Genomic DNA, 23,585 nt, shown 5'->3' on the forward strand with positions numbered 1-23,585 from the left:
GATAGGGTTGCTTCCTCCTGCTATCGTTTGAATGTGTCTCCTCCAAAATTCAGGTATTGCCAATGTGCTGTTACTGAGGCAGAGCCTACTTTTTGGAGACAGTGTCTCGTTCTGTCACCCAGGCTGGAGTGTGTGGCGTGATGTGGGCTCACTGCAGCCTCCGCCTCCCAGCTTTACATGATTCTCCTGCCTCAGCCTCCTGAGTAGCTGGGATTACAGGCACCGGCCACCATGCCCAGCTAGTTTTTGTATTTTTAGTAGAGACGGGGTTTCACCATGTTGGCCAGTATGGTCTTGAACTCCTGACCTCAAGTGATCAACCCGCCTCAGCCTACCAAAGTGCTGGGATTACAGGCATGAGCCACTGCACTCAGCCAAATTTCTCTTCTTTATAAAGTACCCAGTCCCAGGTATTCTGTTATGGCAGCTCAGATGAAGATGCCCTTTCTCCAAAGAATCTACTCGTAATAGGAGCCTATTATGAGGAATACTTGACATTGCAACACTTTGTTGGTGGAAGCACATATGATAGCAACAGTCAAGGAATACTCTCCAGTTACTCTTGATGATCTAGCTATACCCACCTGGCTCTGCAGTGCCAAAGGAGTGGGAAAGGGGAAATCCTTTCAGAAGTTAACTCTGCCCCTGTTTCTTGGACCCAGTGGCTGTTGTTCATTGCTGCTAGGGGCAAAGCCATAGTGTTGGAATTTTTTCTGATGAATTTATGAAAGCGTAGAGTTGTGTCACTTTAGGCTTGGATAACTATCATTTGGACTCAACCAAATTCATGCATCTGATTTATAAAACATATAACTTGGTAAATTTACTATGAGAAATCACTCAGTAGCATCCTCAAGGTTGGCATGATCATTGAATTTGCTCTGTAGAAGCCCAACTTAGTGTACAATGAGAAAGATGAATTTATTCTCACAGACTGCATAATCATTTGTCAGATACTATGCCATGCACTGAAGACACATGAACAATACAAAAGCATATTTCTTCCTGTAGGCATGCCCGTGTGTGAACTGAATGATAAAGTCAGACATCATTCAGTTTTAGGGATGCCCTTCTTGTGTGGAAGCAATACTAGAAGCTACTCTTTCCCTTGGAAAGTGTTTGGCTGAGTAGTGCTTAGATTTCCTTCTCAGTGTCTGCTTTTAAAAGTTGCTAACTGGAGGCCCTGTGTGGTGGCTCACACCTGTGATCCCAGCACTTTGGGAGGCTGAGGTGGGCTTATCACTTGAGGTCAGGAGTTTGAGACCAGCCTGGCCAACATGGTGAAACCCCAACTCTACTAAAAATACAAAAATTAGCAGGGCATGGTGGCACGTGCCTGTAATCCCAGCTATTCAGGGGGCTGAGGCAGGAGAATTGCTTGAACCTGAGAGGTGGTGAGCCTAGATTGCACCGCTGCACTCCAGCCTGAGTGACAGAGTGAGACTCTGTTAAAAATAATAGGAAGAAAAAAAATGGAAGTTTCTAATTGGTACCTTCTTTTTTTAGCTACATTAAATACAAACACTGGCCCACTTCCCCTGCAGATTCCTTTAGGGAGCTTTGCATGCTCTAAGTGCCTGCAGATGTGTTTATAAATCCCTGACCACACAGTTAGAAAATGAGTTGATAGGCCAGGCATGGTGGCTCATGCCTGTATTCCCACCACTTTGGGAGGCCAAGGCGGGCAGATCACCTGAGGTCAGGAGTTCAAGACTAGCCTGGCCAACATGGTGAAATCCCCTCTCTACTAAAAATATAAAAATTAGCTGGGCATGGTGGCGGGTGCCTGTAATCCCAGCTACTCAGGAGGCCGAGGCTCCAGAGAATCGTTTGAACCCAGGAGGCAGAGGTTGCAGTGAGCCAAAATCACGCCACTGCACTCCAGCCTGGGTGACAGAGCGAGACTCCATCTCAAGAAAAAAAAAAAAAAATCGACTCTGACCATCACTTTTACACATCTTGAGGTTTTCTGTTTAGGAAGATTCTTACCTACTCAGCTTACATTTTGCTATGGTATTTTCCATCAAAGACCTTAATAGTATTTTACTTTACTCCATTTTAGGATTCTCTTGGTATAATTAAAAATTAGGAGAGGAGTTACCTTATAAGTAGCAATTGTATTTTTTGATAGTTATAGTCTTATTGTATTGTTTTTGTTTATGCCTCATCTATTAACTTTTTTCTTTTTGTTTTGTAGAGATGGGGTCTTGCCACGTTGTCCAAGCTGGTCTCGAATTCCTGGCCTCAAGCCATCCTCTAGCCTAAGCCTCTCAAAGTGCTGGGATGACTCCGGCTTGAGCCACCACACCCAGCCATTCATCCAACTTTTTTTTTTTTTTTGAGAGGGAGTTTCACTCTTGTCGCCCAGAATGGAGTGCGATGGTGCTGCAACCTCCACCTCCCGGGTTCAAGCGATTCTCCTGCCTCAGCCTCCTGAGTAGCTGGGACTACAGGCATGTGCCACCAGGCCAGGCTAATTTTTGTATTTGGTATTTGTATTTGGTAGAGACAGGGTTTCACCATGTTGATCAGGCTGGTCTCTATCTGACCTCAAATGATCTGCCCACCTCAGCCTCCCAAAGTGCTGGGATTACAGGCATGAGCCACCACGCCCTGCCTCATCCGTTCAACTTTAACGTAGGCCTTTGCCGAGAGCTTCATACCCATGTATTAATGTATAATCAAATAGTTACTTTTCATTCCCATCCAGATATCTCAATCTTACTGCAAACTTAATATATCCACAGTCCTAAACGTATCCTTCTCCAAAGCCCTCCTCCAAATCTGGTCTTCCTCCTTTGTTTCCAGTCTTAGTAAATTGTATTGTTACAGGAAATGGGGTTCAGATTCAGACCCCAAGAGAGAGTTTTTAGATCTTGCACAAGAAAGAATTCAGGGCGAGTCCACAGTGCAAAGCAAGTTTATTAGGAAAATAAAGAAAAAAAGAATGGCTACTCCATAGAGCAGCCCTGAGGGTTGCTGGTTACCCATTTTTATGGTTATTTCTTGATGATATGCTAAACAAGGGGTGGATTATTCATTCTTCCCCTTTTCAGACCATAAAGGGTAACTTCCCGACATTCCCATGGTATTTGTAAACTGTCATGGCGCTGGTGGGAGTATAGCAGTGAGGACGGCCAGAGGTCACTCTCGTGGCCATCTAGGTTTTGGTGGGTTTTAGCCGGCTTCTTTACTGCGACCTGTTTTATCAGCAAGGTCTTTATGACTTGCTATCTCATCCTGTGACTTAGAATGCCTTAACCATCTGGGAACGCAGCCAAGTAGGTTTCAGCCTTATTTTACCCAGTGCCTATTCAAGATGGAGTTGCTATGGTTCAAACTCCTCTGACATTATGTATGATCACCATACCACAGCACAAGACAGAAAAGAGACCTTTGATGTCTCACAGATCTAATCACTTCCTAAATCCTTTAGATTATACTTTATGTGTTTTTCTAGAATGTGTTCACTTATTTCTATCTGCTTTCTTAATACTGTACTTGGATTTTTTTGAACTAGGTTAAGAATACAAAAGATGGATAATTTTGTGTGCTCTATAATGCTATTATGTGTATTTTAATTCTTTGAAAAATTAGGGTAATGGGAGATAAGGCTAAAGGCTAAAATGCTAACACACCCAACATGTTTGATCGGAAGAGTTCAAAGGGACCATGTAGACTTGTTTTGAACCCTTTGCTCGAATTTCTCACAGCTATTACACTCAAAACCAGAAAATAGCCGTAATTCTGTCAACACAGAAGAGAACTGTCCAACTGATTTTCATGTTTGTCCAGGCACTCTACTTGGTGCTAAGGAATATGGTGATTGAATAAGATAAAGTTTCCTCCCTGTCTGGAAGCAACTAGACGCTGGGCTTCTCCCAGCGATTCATTATTTGGCACTAAATCTCTGCCTTAATATGAAACGATCCGGCTCATGCCTGTAATCCCGGCACTTTGGGAGGCCGCGGCGGGTGGATCACCTGAGGTCGGGAGTTCGAGACCAGCCTGACCAACATGGAGAAACCCCGTCTCTACTAAAAACACAAATTTAGCTGGGCGTGGTGGCGCATGCCTGTAATCCCAGCTACTAGGGAGGCTGAGGCAGGAGAATCGCTTGAACCTGGGAGGCGGAGGTTGCGGTGAGCCGAGATCGAGCCATTGCACTCCAGCCTGGGCAACAAGAGTGAAACTCCGTCTCAAAAAAGAAAAGAAAAGAAATGATCCCTCACCGAACCGAGCCTCAGTTCAGTGCGAAGGCTCTGATGATACTCTTTTTTTTTTTGAGACGGAGTCTCGTTCTGTTGCCCAGGCTGGAGTGCGGTGGCGCCATCTCGGCTCACCGCAACCCTTTCCTCCCCGGTTCAAGCGAATCTCCTGCTTCAACCTCCTGAGTAGCTGGGATTACAGGCGCGCGCCACCTCTCTTGGCTAATTTTTGTGTTTTTAGTAGAGACGGGGTTTCACCATGTTGGTCAGGCTGGTCTCGAACTCCTGACCTCGTGATCCACCCGCCTCGGCCTAAGAAAGTGCTGGGATTACAGGCGTGAGCCACCGGCCGCTGATGGTATTCTTTCCTGAGGGCAGATTTTCACGCCAGAAGCCCCGACAATTATACCTGAGCTGGTTCCACCTAAGCTCAATCCTCCTTCCCTGCCCCAAGGGGGTGAAAAATCTGGGCCCAGGAGGCCTTCCTTGTGCTCTGGGGGGAGGCATTTAAGGGTCCAAGGAAGACGTGACCGAAATGTAAAGCACTGGACGGCTTACCCAATAAGGGACCCAGCGTTTCTTATTACCCAACATCCCCCTGAGTCTGGCTTTTAGAAAAATATGCAAAGCGTCCGGGCGCAGTGGCTCACGCCTATGATCCCAGCACTTTGGAAGGCCGAGGCGGGCGCGGTCAGGAGTTTGAGACCAGCCTGGCCAATATGGTGAAACCCCGTCTCTACTAAAAATACAAAAATTAGCCGGGCATGGTGGCCCCCGCCTGTAGTCCCTCGGGAGGCTGAGGCAGGAGAATCGCTTGAACCTGGGAGGCGGAGGTGGCAGTGAGCTGAGATCGCACCATTGCACTCCAGCCAGCGCGACAGAACGAGACTCCGTCTCAAACAAAACAAAACAAAAAACAAACTACAAAATTAGCCGGGCATGGTGGCGTCTGCCTGTAGTCCCAGCTGCTTGGGAGGCTGAGGCAGGAGAATTGCTTGAACCCAGGAGGTGGAGGTTGCAGTGAGCCGAGATCGCACCATTAAACTCCAGCCTGGGCGACAAGAGGGAAATTCCGTCTCAGGGGAAAAAAAGAGAAAGAAAGAAAAAGAGGAAGAAAGAGAAAGAAAAATATGCAAAGCAACAAAAAAGAGAGCTAGAAAGATGGAAACAACTCAGAAGACCCTTGCTTAACCCGCGTGCGTCACGGGCTACAGGGGTCGGCCCCTCGAGCTAACCCCCACCGGCGCCTGCGCACTGGCCTGGCCCGCGGCAGGAAGCCCCGGCGTGAGACACTTTCGGATTCCGTGACAACGGCGGGATTAAACGTTTTTCTTCTCCTTTGCTACTGAACCTATGCTGTGACTTAGAACATAAGAAACTCCAAGAGGGTGTAGGGATTGTCTTAGCTGTCTCCCTCCTCCGCCGGCACCGCTGAAGGCAGCCCCTATGGAGGGCGCTAAACCTCGGGGCCCTGGGTTTCTATGACGACAAACAGGCGTTCCAGCAAAGGAGGAAGTGAGCGGATGCTGGGCGGGTACGCAATGTGTGGGTAGGATCGCGGGTGTCCCTTTCCCGTCATTTTAAACCAAGAAGCAGTGCGAGGCCTGCCCAACTCGCGAGTTTGTGGAACTGGCGCGCGAGAGCGCTGCCTGTGGGGAAGGTATGGTCCCCAGCCGAGCCGCCTGCAGCGAGTGTCCCCCACCAGGGGTGCCGGCGGTCTGCGGGGTCCGCCGAGCGGGTCCTTCCTGCCCTGCTCCTTGACCCCGACCTGACGGTCCACTAAGGCTTCTTAGTCGCTACACATAACCCCAGAACATAGAGGTCGCCCCGAAGAAGGAGAACCATGCTAGATGAATTCTAAACTGCGATCTGAACCTAAGTACTCAATAGTTGTCATCTTTTTTTTTTTTTTTAAATCTTTTTTCCTCTGCCTGCAGGACTATGTGGCAGCCTGCAAGTCCCAGTGCGGCGCTGATTTGTGTCTAAATTAGCTTTCCGGAGGACTATTTCAAATTACTAAAGAGATAGGAGGCATTGTTTATTATGTCTCTCCCGAAAACGCCCTCCACCCCGCTAAACTCTACATCAACATCTGAGAGCAAAAAGTTAAAAGTGTCTGTAGCCAAGGAAGGGACAAGAGGTAAACTTCGTTGATTCTGAAGTCATAAACAGTCATGGCCGTAAGACAGAAATCACCTTCCATTCACCGGTTTTTTAAATCTGATATTCAGAATACCTTGATTGGCTACATTTTTCTAACACACTTGCTTAAATAAAGCAAGAAGTCATTCCTTTTACAGTATTTTGAGTCAGAGTACTGTTTCACTACTCCATCTAAATACAGTTTATACTTTTTTTCAAATGTTGATTTATATATGATTTTAAATTCAACCTATTTTAAATATCAATAGTTACGTATTTTTTGGTTCCTGGTCTTTGGCTTTAAGGAACTTTGGAAAAAGTAATAGTGAGGCAGGGCGCGGTGGCTCACGCCTGTAATCCCAGCACTTTGGGAGGCCGAGGTGGGCGGATCACTTGAGGTCAGGAGTTCGAGACCAGCCTGGCCAAATATGATGAAATCCCGTCTCTACTAGAAATACAAAAATTAGCCGGGCATGGTGGCTCGCGCCTGTAGTCCCAGCTTACTCTGGAGGCTGAGGCAAGAGAATCGCTTGAACCCAGGAGGTGAGGTTGCAGTGAGCCAGGATCGAGCCATTGCATTCCAGTCTGGGAGACAAGAGCAAGACCCCATCTCAAAATAAATAAATAAATAGGCCGGGCACAGTGGCTCACACCTGTAATCCCATTTGGGAGGCTGAGGCTGGCGGATCACGAGGTCAAGAGATTGAGACCATTCTGGCCAACATGGAGAAACTCTGTCTACTAAAAATACAAAAATTAGGGGGGGCGTGGTGGCTCGTGCCTGTAGTCCCAGCTACTCAGGAGGCTGAGGCAGGAGAATCGCTTGAACCCGGGAGGTGGAGGTTGCAGTGAGCCGAGATTGCGCCACTGCACTCCAGCCTGGCGACAGAACGAGACTCCGTCTCAAATCACGAGGTCAGGAGTTTGAGACCAGCCTGACCAACGTGGTGAAACCCGGTCTCTACTAAAAATACAAAATTTAGCCTGGTGTGGTGGCACTCGCCTGTAATCCCAGCTACTCGGCAGGCTGAGGCAGGAGAATCACTTGAACCCGGGAGGCAGAGGTTGCAGTGAGCCAAGATCTTGCCACTGCACTCTAGCCTGGGCAACAGAGGTAGACTTGGTCTCAAATAAGTAAATAAAGAAACAAAAAGTAATAGCAGAGATAAGAGAAACTCAATTTAGTACAATGTGCCAATTTGTATTAGCTTTTAGTAATTTTTCTAAATGAGAGCAATTCCTTAAGATTTTCGTTCATATGCGGATCTGTACTAGAGTCAGCTAGTGTTATCCTTACCCGGTTCTGTTAAAGCTTTTCCCATCTCACCTGCACCTTGTACTAAAACCCCAAGCCCCACCCAACTTTTTTTTTTTTCTTCTGTTTCTTTTGATCTCAAGCTCTCAGGAGATTTGGTAATGTAAACCCTAACAACTTTTGATAGTAATCAAAGCATGATACCTCCTTATAGAAATAAACATAAACCATACCATGTTACAGGCATAGATTAAGAAGAATAACAACTCAACCCTACCTGACTGACTTCATAGGAGGGCTTTTCCTACATTATCCCAACTACCTGCCTTTATTACTCCCCTGCCCTAGTCAAGCAGGGTAGAACACTCTTTTTACAGTTCCCATTCCACAGATTTGTCAGCTCAGATTGTTCCACTCTCATTTGCAACAATCCCAGTTCCATCTTTACTTTTAAGCCCAACCCAGAGCCTTTCCACTCTATAAATGCCTCGATTTAATGCAATTATTCTCACCTTTGAATTCATGTAAGAAAAAAATTACTAAATAATTTGACAGCTTGGGGGGAGAGATTTGTGATTTTCATATGAAAGGGAAAATAGACATTCATTCCTGTCTTCTTAAGGCTCTCCCAGTTACCTGAGCAAGTGAAATGAGTTTAGTTTTCAACTTTGAATTGAGAATCATGCAGGTTCATCTTGGTACCTGAGTTTTTGAAACTGTGTCTGATGTAATGTGAGTAGGGTAGGCAAGATGAATGTTATTTTCCTTGACTAGATGATGTTCACTGTTTTCAATATTATTTGTTACTATCTTTGTCAAATAGAAGCAATGTTTCTCTCTGTTAGAAACAGATGGGATTGATGAGGCAGTCTGAGAAGCTCCATCTAACTTAAAAAAATATATAGTAAGAGTTTTTCTTTTCCACTACTTACTTAGGACTTCCTGAGCTAAAGGAGAAAAAAAATATGGTGGATCGTTCAAAACTCCTTCCTACTTCCCTTCAGAATGAGTTCATTCCCAAAGAAGTTCTTCTTTCTCTGACCTATGCGGCCAATGCTGGTCCTTGTCCTGAAAACTTACTACCTCCTAAGAAAATTAAAACCCCAAAGGTTTGTATGTACATATGTAGAGTAATGGGGAACATTATTTTTTGGGCATCTGATTATTCTTTAAGTATTTATTATGCACATATTATATATTCCAGATAGCCTTAAAAATTTTAAGATTGATTGAGACAGGGTCTTACTACTGTGGCCCAGGCTGGAGAGTAGTGGCCTGATCATTGCTCACTGCAGCCTCGACTACCCTGGCTCAGGTGATCCTCCCACCTCAGCTTCCTGAGTAGCTGGGACTACAGGTCTGTGCCACCACACCTGGCTAATTTTTGTATTTTTCATAGAGACGGAGTTTCGCCATGTTGCCTATGCTGGTCTCAAATTCCTGGGCTCAAGCAATCCACCCGCCTTAGCCTCCCAAAGTGCTGGAATTTCAAGTGTGAGCCAACATGCCTGGCCTTAAAAAATTTTTTTAGGCTGTAATCCCAGCACTTTGGGAGGCTGAGGCAGGCAGATCACGAGGTCAGGAGATCAACCATCCTGGCCAACATCATGAAACCCTGTCTCTACTAAAAATACAAAAATTAGCTGGGCATAGTGGCATGCGCCTATAGTCCCAGCTACTCGGGAGGCTGAGGCAGGAGAATCACTTGAACCCGGGAGGCAGAGGTTGCAGTGAGCCGAGATTGCGCCATTGCCCTCCAGCCTGGACCACAGAGCAAGACTCTGTCTCAAAAAAAAAAAATTTAAAATAATTTCTTAGATTGAAAACTCCAGTCTTTTGTATAAATTGTTTCCAAGGCTTGAGTATTTCCATTGACCTGTTTTTATGTGGATTTACTAAAATGATAATTGCTACCCTTAATGTTTTTCACTCACTATAGAATTATTCTAGTTTTAGTCTTTATGTCATTTAATAAGAATTCTGCTCTCTTTTTTCCTTAGAGTACCCAAGTGCCCTTAATGTAAATACAGTACTTACTCAAAACTATTAATACATTTTATTTGATTAGATCGCCCTCTGCTGGATATTCATGTGTATTTGCTTTTTCCCAGGGCACTCTTCCACGCCTTGTAGACCATGTCTGGCATCACCCTGTTCGAAGGAATAAATTCAAATACCTGATTGACCATCCCGTCTCCCTCACAGGAGCTGGAAGGTAAAGAAGGAAGATAGTAGGATAGATGCTGATAAATAGAGTTGTTTTCTCATTTTGAATGATTACCTTGGGAGGGGCAGAATTAGAAAAATCACTGAATCATAGATGATAAAATTTACAGTATCTTTGAATCAGAATACAATCCAGAAGGGCCAAAGACCATCTTTTTGTGTGTGATTATTATCAGTAGGATGGAAATAGGTGCTGGCTTTACATATTTTTGGTTTAAATTTGCTTTTTGCATGCCTTTGTATACTTGTCCCTATACTCTCCTATTCCCTGTTGTACCCTAGTAAAAGGGACAAGATCCAACAGGCAGAATGCCTTTAGTGCTCCTTTTATCTGTGTGTATGTCTTCTTTGTGGACATCTTTAGAAGAAAGAACTAGGTAACATAGCTTCATGATGTGGAAAACCTTGAAAAACAAAAGCTTAATTTCTGGATCTCTCCAAAGGGAGCCCTTAATCTTTACACTGTTTCAGATCAAGTCAGCAAATACTATTTGTTTTTGTCTCATTCCTACAAACATTCTAAGTCATTCTAAGGCGGTCAAGTGGGTCAACATTTTCCCTGTGAAGATTGAGACCTGCTAGTTTTCTATGTATTGTCCACTTATCAATTTACTCCATGCATGCGCCCTCACTTAAATGTCCCTTCTACTGAAACAAATGTTTACACTTAACATACTTGAGTAGGTTATTTAGTCTTTCTGAAGCCCCATTTTCTCATATGTAAAAAGGGAATAATAGGCTGGGCCAGTTTTGTGTGCCTCCCAGGGATATTGTAAAGCACAAATAAGATAATAGATGCAAGAGCACTTGTAAAACTATAATGTGCTATTTAAGTATAGGTGCTATTACTCAGCTATGCTTCAGTGCAAGGAAAAGTGGTAGAAACTTGTCCTATTGATTTTTATGTACTGAGGCTTTATATTTTATTCTATGCCTCCGGATCATGGTTATAATTATTGGTAGCAATAATTAGTATTATGAGTTGTTTGAAGTACTTTGAAAATTAATTAGCTATATCTGAATGTGGCACTAAGCTGACATTACAGTTTTAATGTTGGCCAGGTGCAGTGGCTCATTCCTGTAATCCCAGCACTTTGGGAGGCCGAGGTGGGCAGATCATTTGAGGTCAGGAGTTCGAGACTAGTCTGGGCAACATGGTGAAACCCTGTCACTACAAAAAATACAAAAATTAGCCAGGCGTGGTGGCGCACACCTGTAATCCCAGCTACTTGGGAGGCTAACGCAGGAGAATTGCTTGAATCCAGGAGGTGGAGGTTGCAGTGAGCTGAGATTGTGCCATTGCACTCCAGCCTGGGCGACCCAGCGAGACTCCCTCTCAAAACAAAACAAAACAAAAAATAAAGTTTTAATGTCAAATGACTCTGAGTTGGAGTTTTTTAAGTGTGAAGTCAGGTTGACAGGATAATGCCCCCTCAACCCCACGAAAACATTTTCACTGTAGTCTCAGAACCTGTGAATACATACCTCACCTGGGAAAAGGGACTTTACAGATATGATGAAAGTAAGGACATTGAAATGGATAGATTATCTTAGATTGTCAGGGTGGGCCCAGCCTAATCACCTGAATCTTTAAAAGTGGAAAAGGAAGGCAGTCAAGTGGGTCAGAGAGATGAGAAAGGAAGAGGACAGCTTTGACTTGTGAGAGTTCAGCCTGACATTGCTGGCTTTGAAGAAGGAGGAAGGGGAAAAGCAGCCAAGAAATGAATTTGGCTACTAGAAGTTAGGAATTCTAATGACAGCTCAGTCGCCAACTGTCAAGGGAACAGGGATTGCAGTCTTACAACTTTAAAGAACTGAATTCTGTTAACAACCCAAATGAGCATAGAATTGGATCTTCCTCTAGAGCATCCAGAAAGAAACACAGTCCTGCCAATGCCTTGATTTTAGCCTTTTGAGACCCTGTTGGACTTCTGACCTACAGAGCAGTAAGATAATAAATTTATGTTGTTTAAGATGCTAAATTTGTGGTAATTTGTTATGGCACCAATAGAAAACTAATGCACAAATGCACAACTAATAGTATGCATAACGAGATAACTTGTCCAGCAACCTCAATCACCCAGAACCCAGCAGTAAAATATAAAACAGCAAAGCAAATATTCTCGAGTAATATTTTTCGACAACTCTTTCAGCAGAGTTCAGTGCAGAAAATAAATCAGTCTAGATATTTTAAGCAGGAAAGAATCAAATGCAGAACATTGGGTATTTACAAAATTGTTGGAAGGGCTAAAGGAGCTGGTATGAGGAAGTACCTGTGCGAATAACTCCCAGAACAGGGTGACATTGACATCTTCAGATAAAAGACATGTTTATAGATAGACATAACTCAACCAATGATGATTTGAAGAAGAGCTTGAATTATGAACTCAGTTAATAATCTGGGGGCTGAAGAACGAGTTGGAGAATTTCTTAAAGACAAATAAATAAAATCCAGTTATTATGTTATGATTAAGAATCAAAGTTGTTTTGTTTTGTTTTTTGTTTTTTTAAATAAAAATAGATTTTCCAGAAGAGTGGAAGCGGGTGTTTTACCATAGAATTTTATGAAGAAACAAAACATATCTCTAATTATTATTATTATTATTTTTGAGAGATGGAGTTTTGCTCCTGTTGCCCAGGCTGGAGTGCAATGGCGCAGTCTCGGCTCACCACAACCTCTGCCTCCCGGGTTCAAGTGATTCTCCTGCCTCAGCCTCTGACGTAGCTGGGACTACAGGCATGCACCACCATGCCCAGCTAATTTTGTATTTTTATTAGAGACCGGGTTTCTCCATGTTGGTCAGGCTGGTCTCAAACTCCTGACCTCAGGTGATCCACCCGCCTCGGCCTCTCAAAGTGCTGGGATTATAGGCGTGAGCTACCACGCCTGGCCCTCTAATTATTTTTAATAAAAAATTATATTTCAACAAGTAAATAAAACAGGCTTCTTCTAAAAATCAATAACACAATCACCTCTTAAAGGTTCCACTTCATAATGATACTATTAAAATGGCAATTACATTTCCAACACATGAATTTCTAAGGGACACATTCAAACCATAACAATACCCAGTACTTTAATAATGTATAGAAATACAAAAGGCTCCTCCAAATCATGAGTGAACTCCCATTCACAATTGTTTCAAAGAGAATAAAATACCTAGGAATCCAACTTACAAGGAATGTGAAGGACCTCTTCAAGGAGAACTACAAACCACTGCTCAACGAAATAAAAGAGAACACAAACAAATGGAAGAATATTCCATGCTCATGGATAGGAAGAATCAATATCGTGAAAATGGCCATACTGCCCAAGGTAATTTGTAGATTCAATGCTATCCCCACCAAGTTGCCACTCACTTTCTTCACAGAATTGGAAAAATCTATTTTAAATTTCATACGGAACCAAAAAAGAGCCCACAGAGCCAAGACAAGCCTAAGCAAAAAGAACAAAGCTGGAGGCATCACGCTACCTGACTTCAAACTATACTACAAGGCTACAGTAACCAAAACAGCATGGTACTGGTATCAAAACAGATATATAGACCAACGGAACAGAACAGAGGCCTCCGAAATAACACCACACATTTACAACCATCTGATCTTTGACAAACCTGACAAAAACAAGCAATGGAGAAAGGATTCCCTATTTAATAAATGGTGCTGGGAAAACTGGCTAGCCATATGTAGAAAGCTGAAACTGGATCCCTTCCTTACACCTTATACAAAAATTAATTCAAGATGGATTAAAGACTTAAATGTTAGACCTAAAACCATAAAAACCCTAGAAGAAAACCAAGGCAATACCATTCAGGGCATAGGCATGGGCAAGGACTTCATGTCTAAAACACCAAAAGCAATGGTAACAAAAACCAAAATTGACAAATGGTATCTAATTAAACTAAAGAGCTTCTGCACAGCAAAAAAAAATTACCATCAGAGTGAACAGGCAACCTACAGAATGGGAGAAAATTTTTGCAATCTACCCATCTGACAAAGTGCTAATATCCAGAATCTACAAAGAACTCAAACAAATTTACAAGAAAAAAACAACCCCTTCAAAAAGTGGGCAAAGGATACAAACAGACACTTCTCAAAAGAAGATATTCATGCAGCCAACAGACACATGAAAAAATGCTCATCATCGTTGGCCATCAGAGAAATGCAAATCAAAACCACAATGAGATACCATCTCACACCAGTTAGAATGGCGATCATTCAAAAGTCAGGAAACAACAGGTGCTGGAGAGGATGTGGAGAAATAGGAACGCTTTTACACTGTTGGTGGGAGGATAAACTAGTTCAACCATTGTGGAAGACAGTGTGGTGATTCCTCAAGGATCTAGAACTAGAAATACCACTTGACCCAGCAATCCCATTACTGAGTATATACCCAAAGGATTATACATCATGCTACTATAAAGACACATGCACACATATGTTTATTGCGGCACTATTCACAATAGCAAAGACTTGGAACCAACCCAAATGTCCATCAGTGATAGACTGGATTAAGAAAATGTGGCACATATAAACCATGGAATACTTTGTAGCCGTAAAAAAGGATGAGTTCATGTCGTTTGTAGGGACATGGATGAAGCTGGAAACCGTCATTCTGAGCAAACTATCACAAGGACAGAAAACCAAATACTGCATGTTCTCACTCATAGGTGGGAATTGAACAATGAGAACACCTGGACACAGGGTGGGGAACATCACACACCGGGGCCTGTCGTGGGATGGGGGGAGGGGGGAGGGATAACATTAGGAGGAATACCTAATGTAAATGATGAGTTAATGGGGGGTGCAGCACACCAACATGGCACATGTATATGTATGTAACAAACCTGCACATTGTGCACATGTACCCTAGAACTTAAAGTATAATTTAAAAAATAAATAAATAAAATAAATTATTTTTAAAAATTAAAAAAATACAAAAGGCTGCTAAAGTAGGTTCTTGAGAGAATTTGAGTGATGATTACTAAATCAAAATATTCTTTATTAATAAAAAAAAAATTTTTTTTAAGATGGAATCTTGCTCTGTCATCCAGGCTGGAGTGTAGTGGTGTGATCTTGGCTCACTGCAACCTCTGCCTCCCAAGTTCAAGCGATTCTCCTGCCTCAGCCTCCCGAGTAGCTGGGATGACAGGTGCCTGCCACCACATCTGGCTAGTTTTTTAACTTTATTTTTAATAGCGATGGTGTTTCACTATATTGGCTAGGCTGGTTTTGAACACTTGACCTCAGGTGATCCGCCCATCTTGGCCCCCTAAAATACTAGGATTATAGGCGCGAGCCACCATGCCCGGCCCCAACATATTCTTTAATTATATGTTTGTGTATATGTGCATAAAATATTGTGTGTATAATATATGTCTAATTATATAAAATATATATAATGTATAACATATAATGTATAATGTATACATATGCATTATATATGTATATACAGGTATATACTGTACACATATATGTACATACATATATGTACATATATGTATATAATATATGCACATGTGTGTATCTACACACACATATATGTACATGAAGCATTCATCATTTTTAGCTAACAAAACAATTGTAATGGCCAACTTCTCCAGCATTTATTGGTGTGATAAGAACTGCTGTTCCATCATCCTGACAGCAGCTCATTCAGATCTTTGTGACTATGTAAAACCTCTAAGAGGGTGGAACAGAGAAAGAATCCGGAGGATTGGGAAATACAGCTCTAACATTTTTCCCCTGTACATATCCAAGAGAACCAGAATATCACAGCGCAGGACATCAATAGCTTGATGTCTTTTACTACCAATATATACGTTTAAAAATAGTTATGGTCCATGTTGTATATTTCAGGATCTTCCTGGGACACTAGAACTGGCCTGTTTCCACCAACCTCACATGCCACATCAGCTGCCAAATGGCATTGCCCTCAAAGCACACCCTCTCCCACCATTTCACAATATTGCAACTGTTATAGTCATTCTAAAATAATTTAAAATTTCATTTCATCCATAAAACCTTTCTAGCTTCTCTTAGACTAAAGCCCAACATGTTAAGCATGATTTGCAAGGCTCTCTGTGTTTAGTTCTCTAATTTCAACAATTTTATTCTTCATACTTCAACTGTATATTCAGTCATCCCTCATACTGAGGGATATGTGGGGGATTGGTTCCCAGACACCTGCAGATACCAGAATCTGTGTCCACTCAATTTCTGCAGTCAGCCGTACATGAGTCAGAAACTCATGTATATATATGGAAAGTTGGCCCTCTGTATATGAGGGTTTCATATCCGGTGAATACTGTATTTTCAGTCAGCGTTTGGTTGAAAAAATTCATGTATAAGCAGACCCATACAGTTCAAGGCTGTGTTGTTCAAGGGTCAACTATACTACATTTTCAGTTTGCCGAAGTCACCATGTGCTGTTGTGTCTCAGGACCTATGCATATGCTGTTCTCTACACTTTTCGGTTGCTTACCTAAATCCAAATCAGTTTCTTGTTCTCACTAATTGTTACTGCTTCCCGAAGTTTTCCCTGACTTGGTCTAAACTGTATTTGGGTGGTGTTGTTATTAGTTATTCCAGTAACATTCTATTCTCTGTTACAATGTCTTTATATTATACTTTTCTTTGGTTTGCGAATCTTCCCCTCTATATTGAAGGCTCCCCAATGGTAGGGACTGTGTCTATTTTAAGAAATAGTTCTATATTCCTTTCATCTAGCATATTTTCTGTCACTTACAATATGGTTAATAAATATTTGCTGAGCAAATTAATGAATTTTGGGCACGTTAATGTACAATCCTATAACCCAGGGCACCCAAATTTAATAATGTAGTTTTTTCTTTTTTTTTGAGATGGAGTCTCACTCTGTCACCCAGGCTGGAGTGCAGTGGCACGATCTCAGCTCACTGCAACCTTTGCTTCCCAGGTTCAAGTGATTCTCCTGCCTCAGCCTCCCAAGCAGCTGGGACTATAGGCACACACCACCACGCCCGGCTAATTTTTGTATTTCTAGTAGAGATGGGGTTTCGCCATATTGGTCAGGTTGGCCACAAACTCCTGACCTCAAGTGATCTGCCCCCTTCAGCCTCCCAAAGTGCTGGTGTTACAGGCATGAGCCACTGCAACTGGCCTTGAAATTGTAATATTTCTGTATTGTCATTCTTCACCACTAGAATCAGTTCCATGAGGGTAGGAACTTTTTATTTGCTTTTTTCACTATTAGTGTTCTTAGCTCGCAGTGCCAGGTATGCAGTAGATGCTGAATTAGTCTTTACTATGTAAACCAGTAAATACATTTGGAGTTTATAGAAGGATGTAATGGACAATCATTTCAGGGTACCATTGTAGTGATGAATTAATGCCTATTGTTTTCTGTCCTGGAAGTCTTAAAAGAGTCAATGACTCAAGATTCCGTCTCCTGGAAGAGTATATTTGGCCTAGCTTAGACCACTTGCCCACATCTTGGTTATCAGAGGATTTTTTTCTCCACTTTTCTGTATTTTGTTTTATTAAACTTCTTATTTTGAAATAATTTAAAGACTCACAGAAAAGTTGCAAATGTGATCAACCCTGGAAAACATTCCAGGGAAGCATGGTAGAAGATAACTGCTAAGAGATTGTTTAACTTGGCAGTGGTAATCACCATCAGCTTTCTAGAAAATAGTTTCAGAAGAGAGGTATGGGTGGAAATCAAATTGCAGGACAATTTTAGGAAGTTTGATGTTTAACACAAGTGATCGATGATAGATCAATCGATTGATCCATTGATAGATCATAATAACATGACAGCGGCCGGGCATGGTGGCTCATGCCTGTAATCCCAGCACTTTGGAAGGCCGAGGCAGGTCACCTGAGGCCAGGAGTTTGAGACCAGCGTGGCCAACGTGGCAAAACCCCATCTCTACTAAAAATACAAAAAATTAGCCAGACATGATGGCACGTGCTTGTAATCCCAGCTACTTGGGAGGCTGGGCAGGAGAATTGCTTGAATCCGGGAGGTGGAGGTTGTAGTGAGCTGAGATTTTGCGCCATTGCACTCCAGCCTGGGCGACAGAGTGAGACTCTGTGTCAAAATAATAATAATGATAATAACAATCACAACATGACAGCAATACATGTTCAAGGAAATATTTTTAGAAGGGGAAAAAGTTTATTATAGGTCAAAGGGGATGTAGAGTTGGAGATACACAGAAGTTAGGACTGATGGAATGAGACTCCTGAGGATATGGGCAAAGATGGAATCAAGCACCTAAGTGGAGGGAATAGCCATAGGAAAGAGAATATATTTTAACCTCATACTGAAGGAAAGGAAAGAGTTTGTGATATGAATGAGAAATTTCAGGTGGAGAAGAGAAAGAATGTGGGGGAACTCATGTTTAATGCCTCAGTCTTAGTAAAGTGTTATGTAAGGAGATCAGTTTTGCTGACACAGAGGACCATCTTACCCATTAGAAGGATATGTGTGGATCTCACCTGCTGTTATGTGGTATCCAGATAGAAAATTTGTTTTGTAAATATATTTTTCTTACTTTTTAGGGATATTTCTTTTCTGTACGATGTAACATATGCCAAAGGACAGACTAGGGAGAAGGCAGTTTGTCCCCCACATTTGGCCCGTTCATTACAGTCACATGATGGTGTCATTGTGCCCCATAAGGTAAATAAAGTATTTGACAAATAATCTTCTCTCCCTCTGTCTACTTTTAAAAATCATTTTAAAATGATTTTTAATATAAATATAAAATATAAAACAACGTCATACTATAACAACCTGCATTGCTCACCAATCTTCATAGCATTTTCAAATTACTTCTTAAAATGGGAAAAGGGTATTTAGCAGGAAAAGATCAAAATGTCTTATTTTAAGCCATTTTGCGAACCACAGTTAATCTGTTTTAATCTAAAAAACACAGCGTGGGAGATTATATTGTTTTTCCCTTAGAAATCCACATATAAAGTTGTAGGATTCTTATCTTTGGTATCTTGCTAAGTTGAATTTTAAATTCCCTGCTGAATTTAAAGGAAAGGAATCAATAAACTTCTGAATATATGGGATACATGTAACTAATACTAGCACCAAGGTTATTCTTTAATTTATGGTTATTTTAGAGATGTGTGCTCTGGTTAGTTTTTGTCATTTGCTATGACCCACATTGCTAATATTGTTATTTCTCCAATCAAAATTTTTCAACTTAAAAAATAGTATCTCTTTAGGTTAGGAATTAGGATTTGTGCAAGTGAATTTTTTCTCTATTAATATATTCATTCTTTTATTTTGCTTTTCTTTTCTTTTAAGCCAAAGACACTAACAGATACTTTGATTCCTGAAGAATTTCATATTGTGTCAAGTACAGGAGTTTCAGGTTTGGAGTGTTATGATGAGTGAGTACTATGATATGTAAAAAATACCTGCCCCAGCTCGGTGGCCCATGCCTGTAATCCCAGCACTTTGCGAGGCCAAGGCGGGTGGATCATCTGAGGTCAGGAGTTCAAGACCAGCCTGGTCAACATGGTGAAAGTCCGTCTCTACAGAAAATACAAAAATATTAGCTGGGTGTGGTGGCGGGTGCCTGTAATCCCAGCTACTGGGGAGGCTGAGGCAGGAGAATCACTTGAACCTGGGAGGCGGAGGTTGCAGTGAGCCAAGATTGCACCATTACACTCCAGCCTGGGCAACAAGAGTGAAACTCCATCTCAAAAAAAAAAAAAAAAAAAAAGAAAGAATACCTGACAAGTTGAACTGTTTCCTCCTTCCCATACATAGAAGAACCTGAGAATAGTACACTCATATTCCTGAGCAATATATAAACTGAAATGAGGAAACATTTGAGCCAGCCATCCTAATACAATTAAGAAAGATACAAATTGGCAGGGCGCGGTGGCTCACGCCTGTAATCCCAGCACTTTGGGAGGCTGAGGCGAGCAGATCACGAGGTCGGGAGATCAAGACCATCCTGGCTAACACGGTGAAACTCCGTCTCTACTAAAAATACAAAAAAATAGCCGGGCGTGGTGGTGGGTGCCTGTAGTCCCAGCTGCTTGGGAGGCTGAGGCAGGAGAATGGCATGAACCCAGGAGGCAGAGCTTGCAGTGAGCTGAGATCGCGCCACTGCACTCCAGCCTGGGCGACAGAGTGAGACTCCGTCTCAAAAAAAAAATACATAAATGAAAGAAAAAGATACAAATTAAAAAAAATAAAAACTAAAAGTACTTAAAAGAGTTTGGGATGTTAGTGATTAAATTATTCATATTTTTTCCTGCCATTTAATTTTGAATTTTTTAAAAAATGGAACTTTGTTTGAATGTGTGACTATGCCCTTTAGGAATGATTTTGAGCAATGATTATGGAGACAAAGGAAAGTAGCCCTCTGAGCCAGCATCTCATAATCCATGCTCCAGGGCTTGGCTCCACATTGCAGACTCATTATCTTGTCATCTTTGATTCCTGTTTATGGGATTGAAAATAGGATCTTGCTTTTATTTTCTGAAACAACACTTGAATGTTTTATAGTTTAGAAAATGAGAACTTTGGACTAAGGTTTTATAATAAAATATCCAGAGGCTGTCACTCTTTTGATATTGTCTTTCCAATATGTATGTTATAATATATTGCATTTCATTGTGATGGTATGTTTCAGAACAATATTTTGCCCAAGAGAACCAAATGAAATTCATTTTTTGGGTAACCTTTTATTTTAATGTAATTTCAGACATAAAAATGTTGCAAAAATGGGAAAAGGAATGCCTATATACCCTCTACCTTGAGTCACTGGTTGTTTACACTTTGTCTCATTTGCTCTTAAACATACACAAGCATGCATACACATGCACATATTTTCAAACTATTTAAGAGTAAATAATCAAATACTTCTACCACCAAATACTTTAGTGTGTATTTCCTAACAACCCATTAGTTATAGATCTTTTGGTGACTTTTTTTTTTTTTTTTTTTTCTTTGAGACGGAGTTTCGCTCTTATTGCCCAAGCTGGAGTGCAATGGCATGATCTCGGCTCACTGCAACCTCCGCCTCCCAGGTTCAAGCGATTCTCCTGCCTCAGCCTCCTGAGTAGCTGGGATTACAGGCAGGCACCACGGTGCCTGGCTAATTTTTTGTATTTTTGGTAGAAACAGGGTTTCACCATGTTAGCCAAGCTGGTCTCGAACTCCTGACCTCAGGTGATCTGCCCGCTTTGGCCTCTCAAAGTGCTGGGATTACAGGCATGAGCCACAGCACATGGCTGATTTTTTTTTTTTTTTTTTGAGACAAAGTCTTGCTTTGTCACCTGGGCTGGAGGGAAGTGGTGCGATCTCGGCTCACTGCAACCTCCGCCCCTTGGGTTCAAGCAATTCTCATGCCTCAGCCTCCCGAGTAGCTGTGACTACAGGTGCCTGCCACCATGCCCAGCTAATTTTTGTAATTTTAGTAGAGATGGGGTTTCGCCATGTTGGCCAGGCTGGTCTCGAACTCCGGACCTCAGGTGACCCACCCACCTCGGCCTCCCAAAGTGCTGGGATTACAGGTGTGAGCCACTGCACCTGGCCTTGATGAATTTTTTAAAATTTCATCATTTCTTCTGTATGATCATTATTTCTTCTGCCAATTTGTTATTTGGCATTTTACCATATGGAATAATGGATTTCTATTTTATTTGATGGATTTTAATTCTTTACTATCATTATTTTATTTTATTTTTTGGAGATGGAGTTTTGCTGTTGTTGCCCAAGCTGGAGTGCAGTGGCGTGATCTTGGCTCACTGCAACCTCCACCTCCTGGGTTTAAGCGATTCTTCTGCCTCAGCCTCCTGAGTAGCTGGGATTACAGGCACGCGCCACCACACCTAATTTTTTTTTTTTTTTTTTTTTTGTATTTTTAGTAGCGACGGGGTTTCACCATGTTGGCCAGGCTGGTCTTGAACTCCTGCCTTGGCCTCTGAAAGTGCTGGGATTATAGGCATGAGCCACCACGCCCAGCCCTTTATTTTTATTTTTTATTTTTTTGAGACAGAGTCTCGCTCTGTCATGGGTGGAGTGCAGTGGCACGATCTCTGCTCACTGCAACCCCCGCCTCCCAGGTTCAAGCAATTCTCCTGCCTCAGCCTCCTGAGTAGCTGGGATTACAGGCGCCTGCCACCATGCCCGGCTAATTCTTTTGTATTTTTAGTAGAGACGGGGCTTCATCATGTTGGCCAGGCTGGTTTCGAACTCCTGACCTCAAGTGATCTGCCCGCCTCAGCCTCCCAAAGTGTTAGGATTACAGGTGTGAGCCACCATGCCCGGCCCATTATTTTGATGCTCAAATTTTTCCAGATTTGGCCAATGGCCAAAGGCTGCTCCTTTGAGCTTTCTCTTGTGTTCTTTGGCCATGTCCCGATGATTATTTGAACACTTATTTTCTGGCTTGATAAGACTTCCAGGTTCATCTTGTATTTTCCAACTCCAGCCCTGGAATGGGTGGTGAGTCACTTCTCCAAGCAGTACTCATTCCTTTTAGTGGAGAATGGTACTTAGAAACCAAGATTCTGGGGGTTAGTTGTGCTAATTGATAAACAGGCCAGAAAATTTTCTTAAAATAACATTTACCTATCTTATTTATTGTAGCAAATACACTACTCTCCTCACAGATAGTGAAAACAGGCTATTGCTCTTCCCATCCATGTAAGTACAGTTTATTTTCTAAAGTCTTTCTCAGAAAGAATACCTATATACATACACATTTCTTGGTACTTTATTAAACAAAATTATTAAAATTATAGCAGCAACCCAAGGCAATAATTGCCTACAAGTTCATCATCTAATCAGTGTTTTCGTTTTTACAATTGTATATTCAATGTTTATATATTTCATTTGTCTAATTGCATATTAAATTTTACATATTTACATATATAGCATAATATTTAAATATGATAAAGTACTTTTATATTCTATGTTTAACCATTAGTATTTCTCCATTTTGCTATAGTCTTTTTTTTCCTTTTCTTTGTCCCTTTTCTTCTCTCACATTGTGAGGTAACCAATGTTAAAAGTTTGATGTTTATCTCCCTACATTTTTTCTTTTTCTATGTTCTTACACTGCTATATGATAGGTATATAGAATTTTTTTTGGGGGGAAGCATTATTTTCTTTTATGAAAAAGAGAATCATACTATTTGCATTTTTCTTCCTTTTTTCTACTATATTATTGATCTCCCAATAGATTAATAGACACAGGTCTAATGCTTAAAATGCCATTAATATCCCAGAGAGCATATATATTCTCTTTACACATATTATATTCTTTTTGCCATTTGAGAATTCCCTGTTGCAATGTTAATTGCATAAGTCTGCCACCTTAATTTTTTAGGAAACCTAATAAAAGAGTAGAAGTGGCCCAGCTGAATGATGTGATGGATACTATGCTAGAGAGGGCTGGTGTGGAAAATCAGGAATATACAGGACCAACGAAGGTAATTGCAAAGCCGAATGCAACCTGGTGGCTAAGAGCATGCACTCAGGAGGCAGATTGCCTAGGTTAGAATTCTGACCCTGCCATATATTTACTAATGGCCTTGGACAAGTCATTTAATGTATTTGTACCTCAGTTTCCTCATCTGAACTTTGGAGATAATAATATCACCTACCTCATAGGGTTTTTGTGGAGATGAAATGACATAATAAATGTAAAGTGCTTAGAACAGTTCTTGGCATGTGGTAGACACTGTATAATTAATTGTTAGTATTATTATTTCACCAAATATAAGGTATC

The 23,585-nt window shown here is 41.7% G+C and overlaps 1 protein-coding gene across 22 annotated transcripts in view, besides 2 other annotated features; it reads left to right on the forward strand.

Moving 5' to 3' along the window:
- Positions 5,264 to 5,663: an enhancer, noted in NCBI's record as "active region_2150". NCBI's record gives its function as "activates an Ori minimal core promoter by ATAC-STARR-seq in GM12878 lymphoblastoid cells {active_cell/tissue: GM12878}" and the evidence as "EXISTENCE:reporter gene assay evidence [ECO:0000049][PMID:35858748]".
- The window catches only part of AXDND1 (axonemal dynein light chain domain containing 1), a 189,031-nt gene continuing 170,892 nt past the window's right edge, over positions 5,447 to 23,585 (forward strand). For 11 of the 22 annotated variants that reach the window (XR_921742.3, XR_921741.2, XM_011509165.2 and 8 more), the window contains exons 1-8: positions 5,713 to 5,742; positions 6,146 to 6,348; positions 8,542 to 8,714; positions 9,717 to 9,820; positions 18,379 to 18,499; positions 19,139 to 19,224; positions 22,442 to 22,498; positions 23,184 to 23,286. Coding sequence is in view for 17 of the 22 variants with exons in the window: in XM_011509165.2 (XP_011507467.1) it covers positions 6,252 to 6,348; positions 8,542 to 8,714; positions 9,717 to 9,820; positions 18,379 to 18,499; positions 19,139 to 19,224; positions 22,442 to 22,498; positions 23,184 to 23,286 (741 nt within the window). In the remaining 5 variants the exon portion in view is untranslated. Of the gene's footprint in view, positions 6,088 to 6,145; positions 6,349 to 8,541; positions 8,715 to 9,716; positions 9,821 to 18,378; positions 18,500 to 19,138; positions 19,225 to 22,441; positions 22,499 to 23,183; positions 23,287 to 23,585 lie in introns of those variants that run through there. The other 11 variants (XM_017000258.2, XM_017000257.2, XM_011509168.2 and 8 more) reach the window with 10 other exon arrangements.
- Positions 6,044 to 6,113: an enhancer, noted in NCBI's record as "active region_2151". NCBI's record gives its function as "activates an Ori minimal core promoter by ATAC-STARR-seq in GM12878 lymphoblastoid cells {active_cell/tissue: GM12878}" and the evidence as "EXISTENCE:reporter gene assay evidence [ECO:0000049][PMID:35858748]".

This window comes from Homo sapiens, chromosome 1 (genome assembly GCF_000001405.40).
Source record: "Homo sapiens chromosome 1, GRCh38.p14 Primary Assembly".
NCBI lineage: Eukaryota > Metazoa > Chordata > Mammalia > Primates > Hominidae > Homo > Homo sapiens.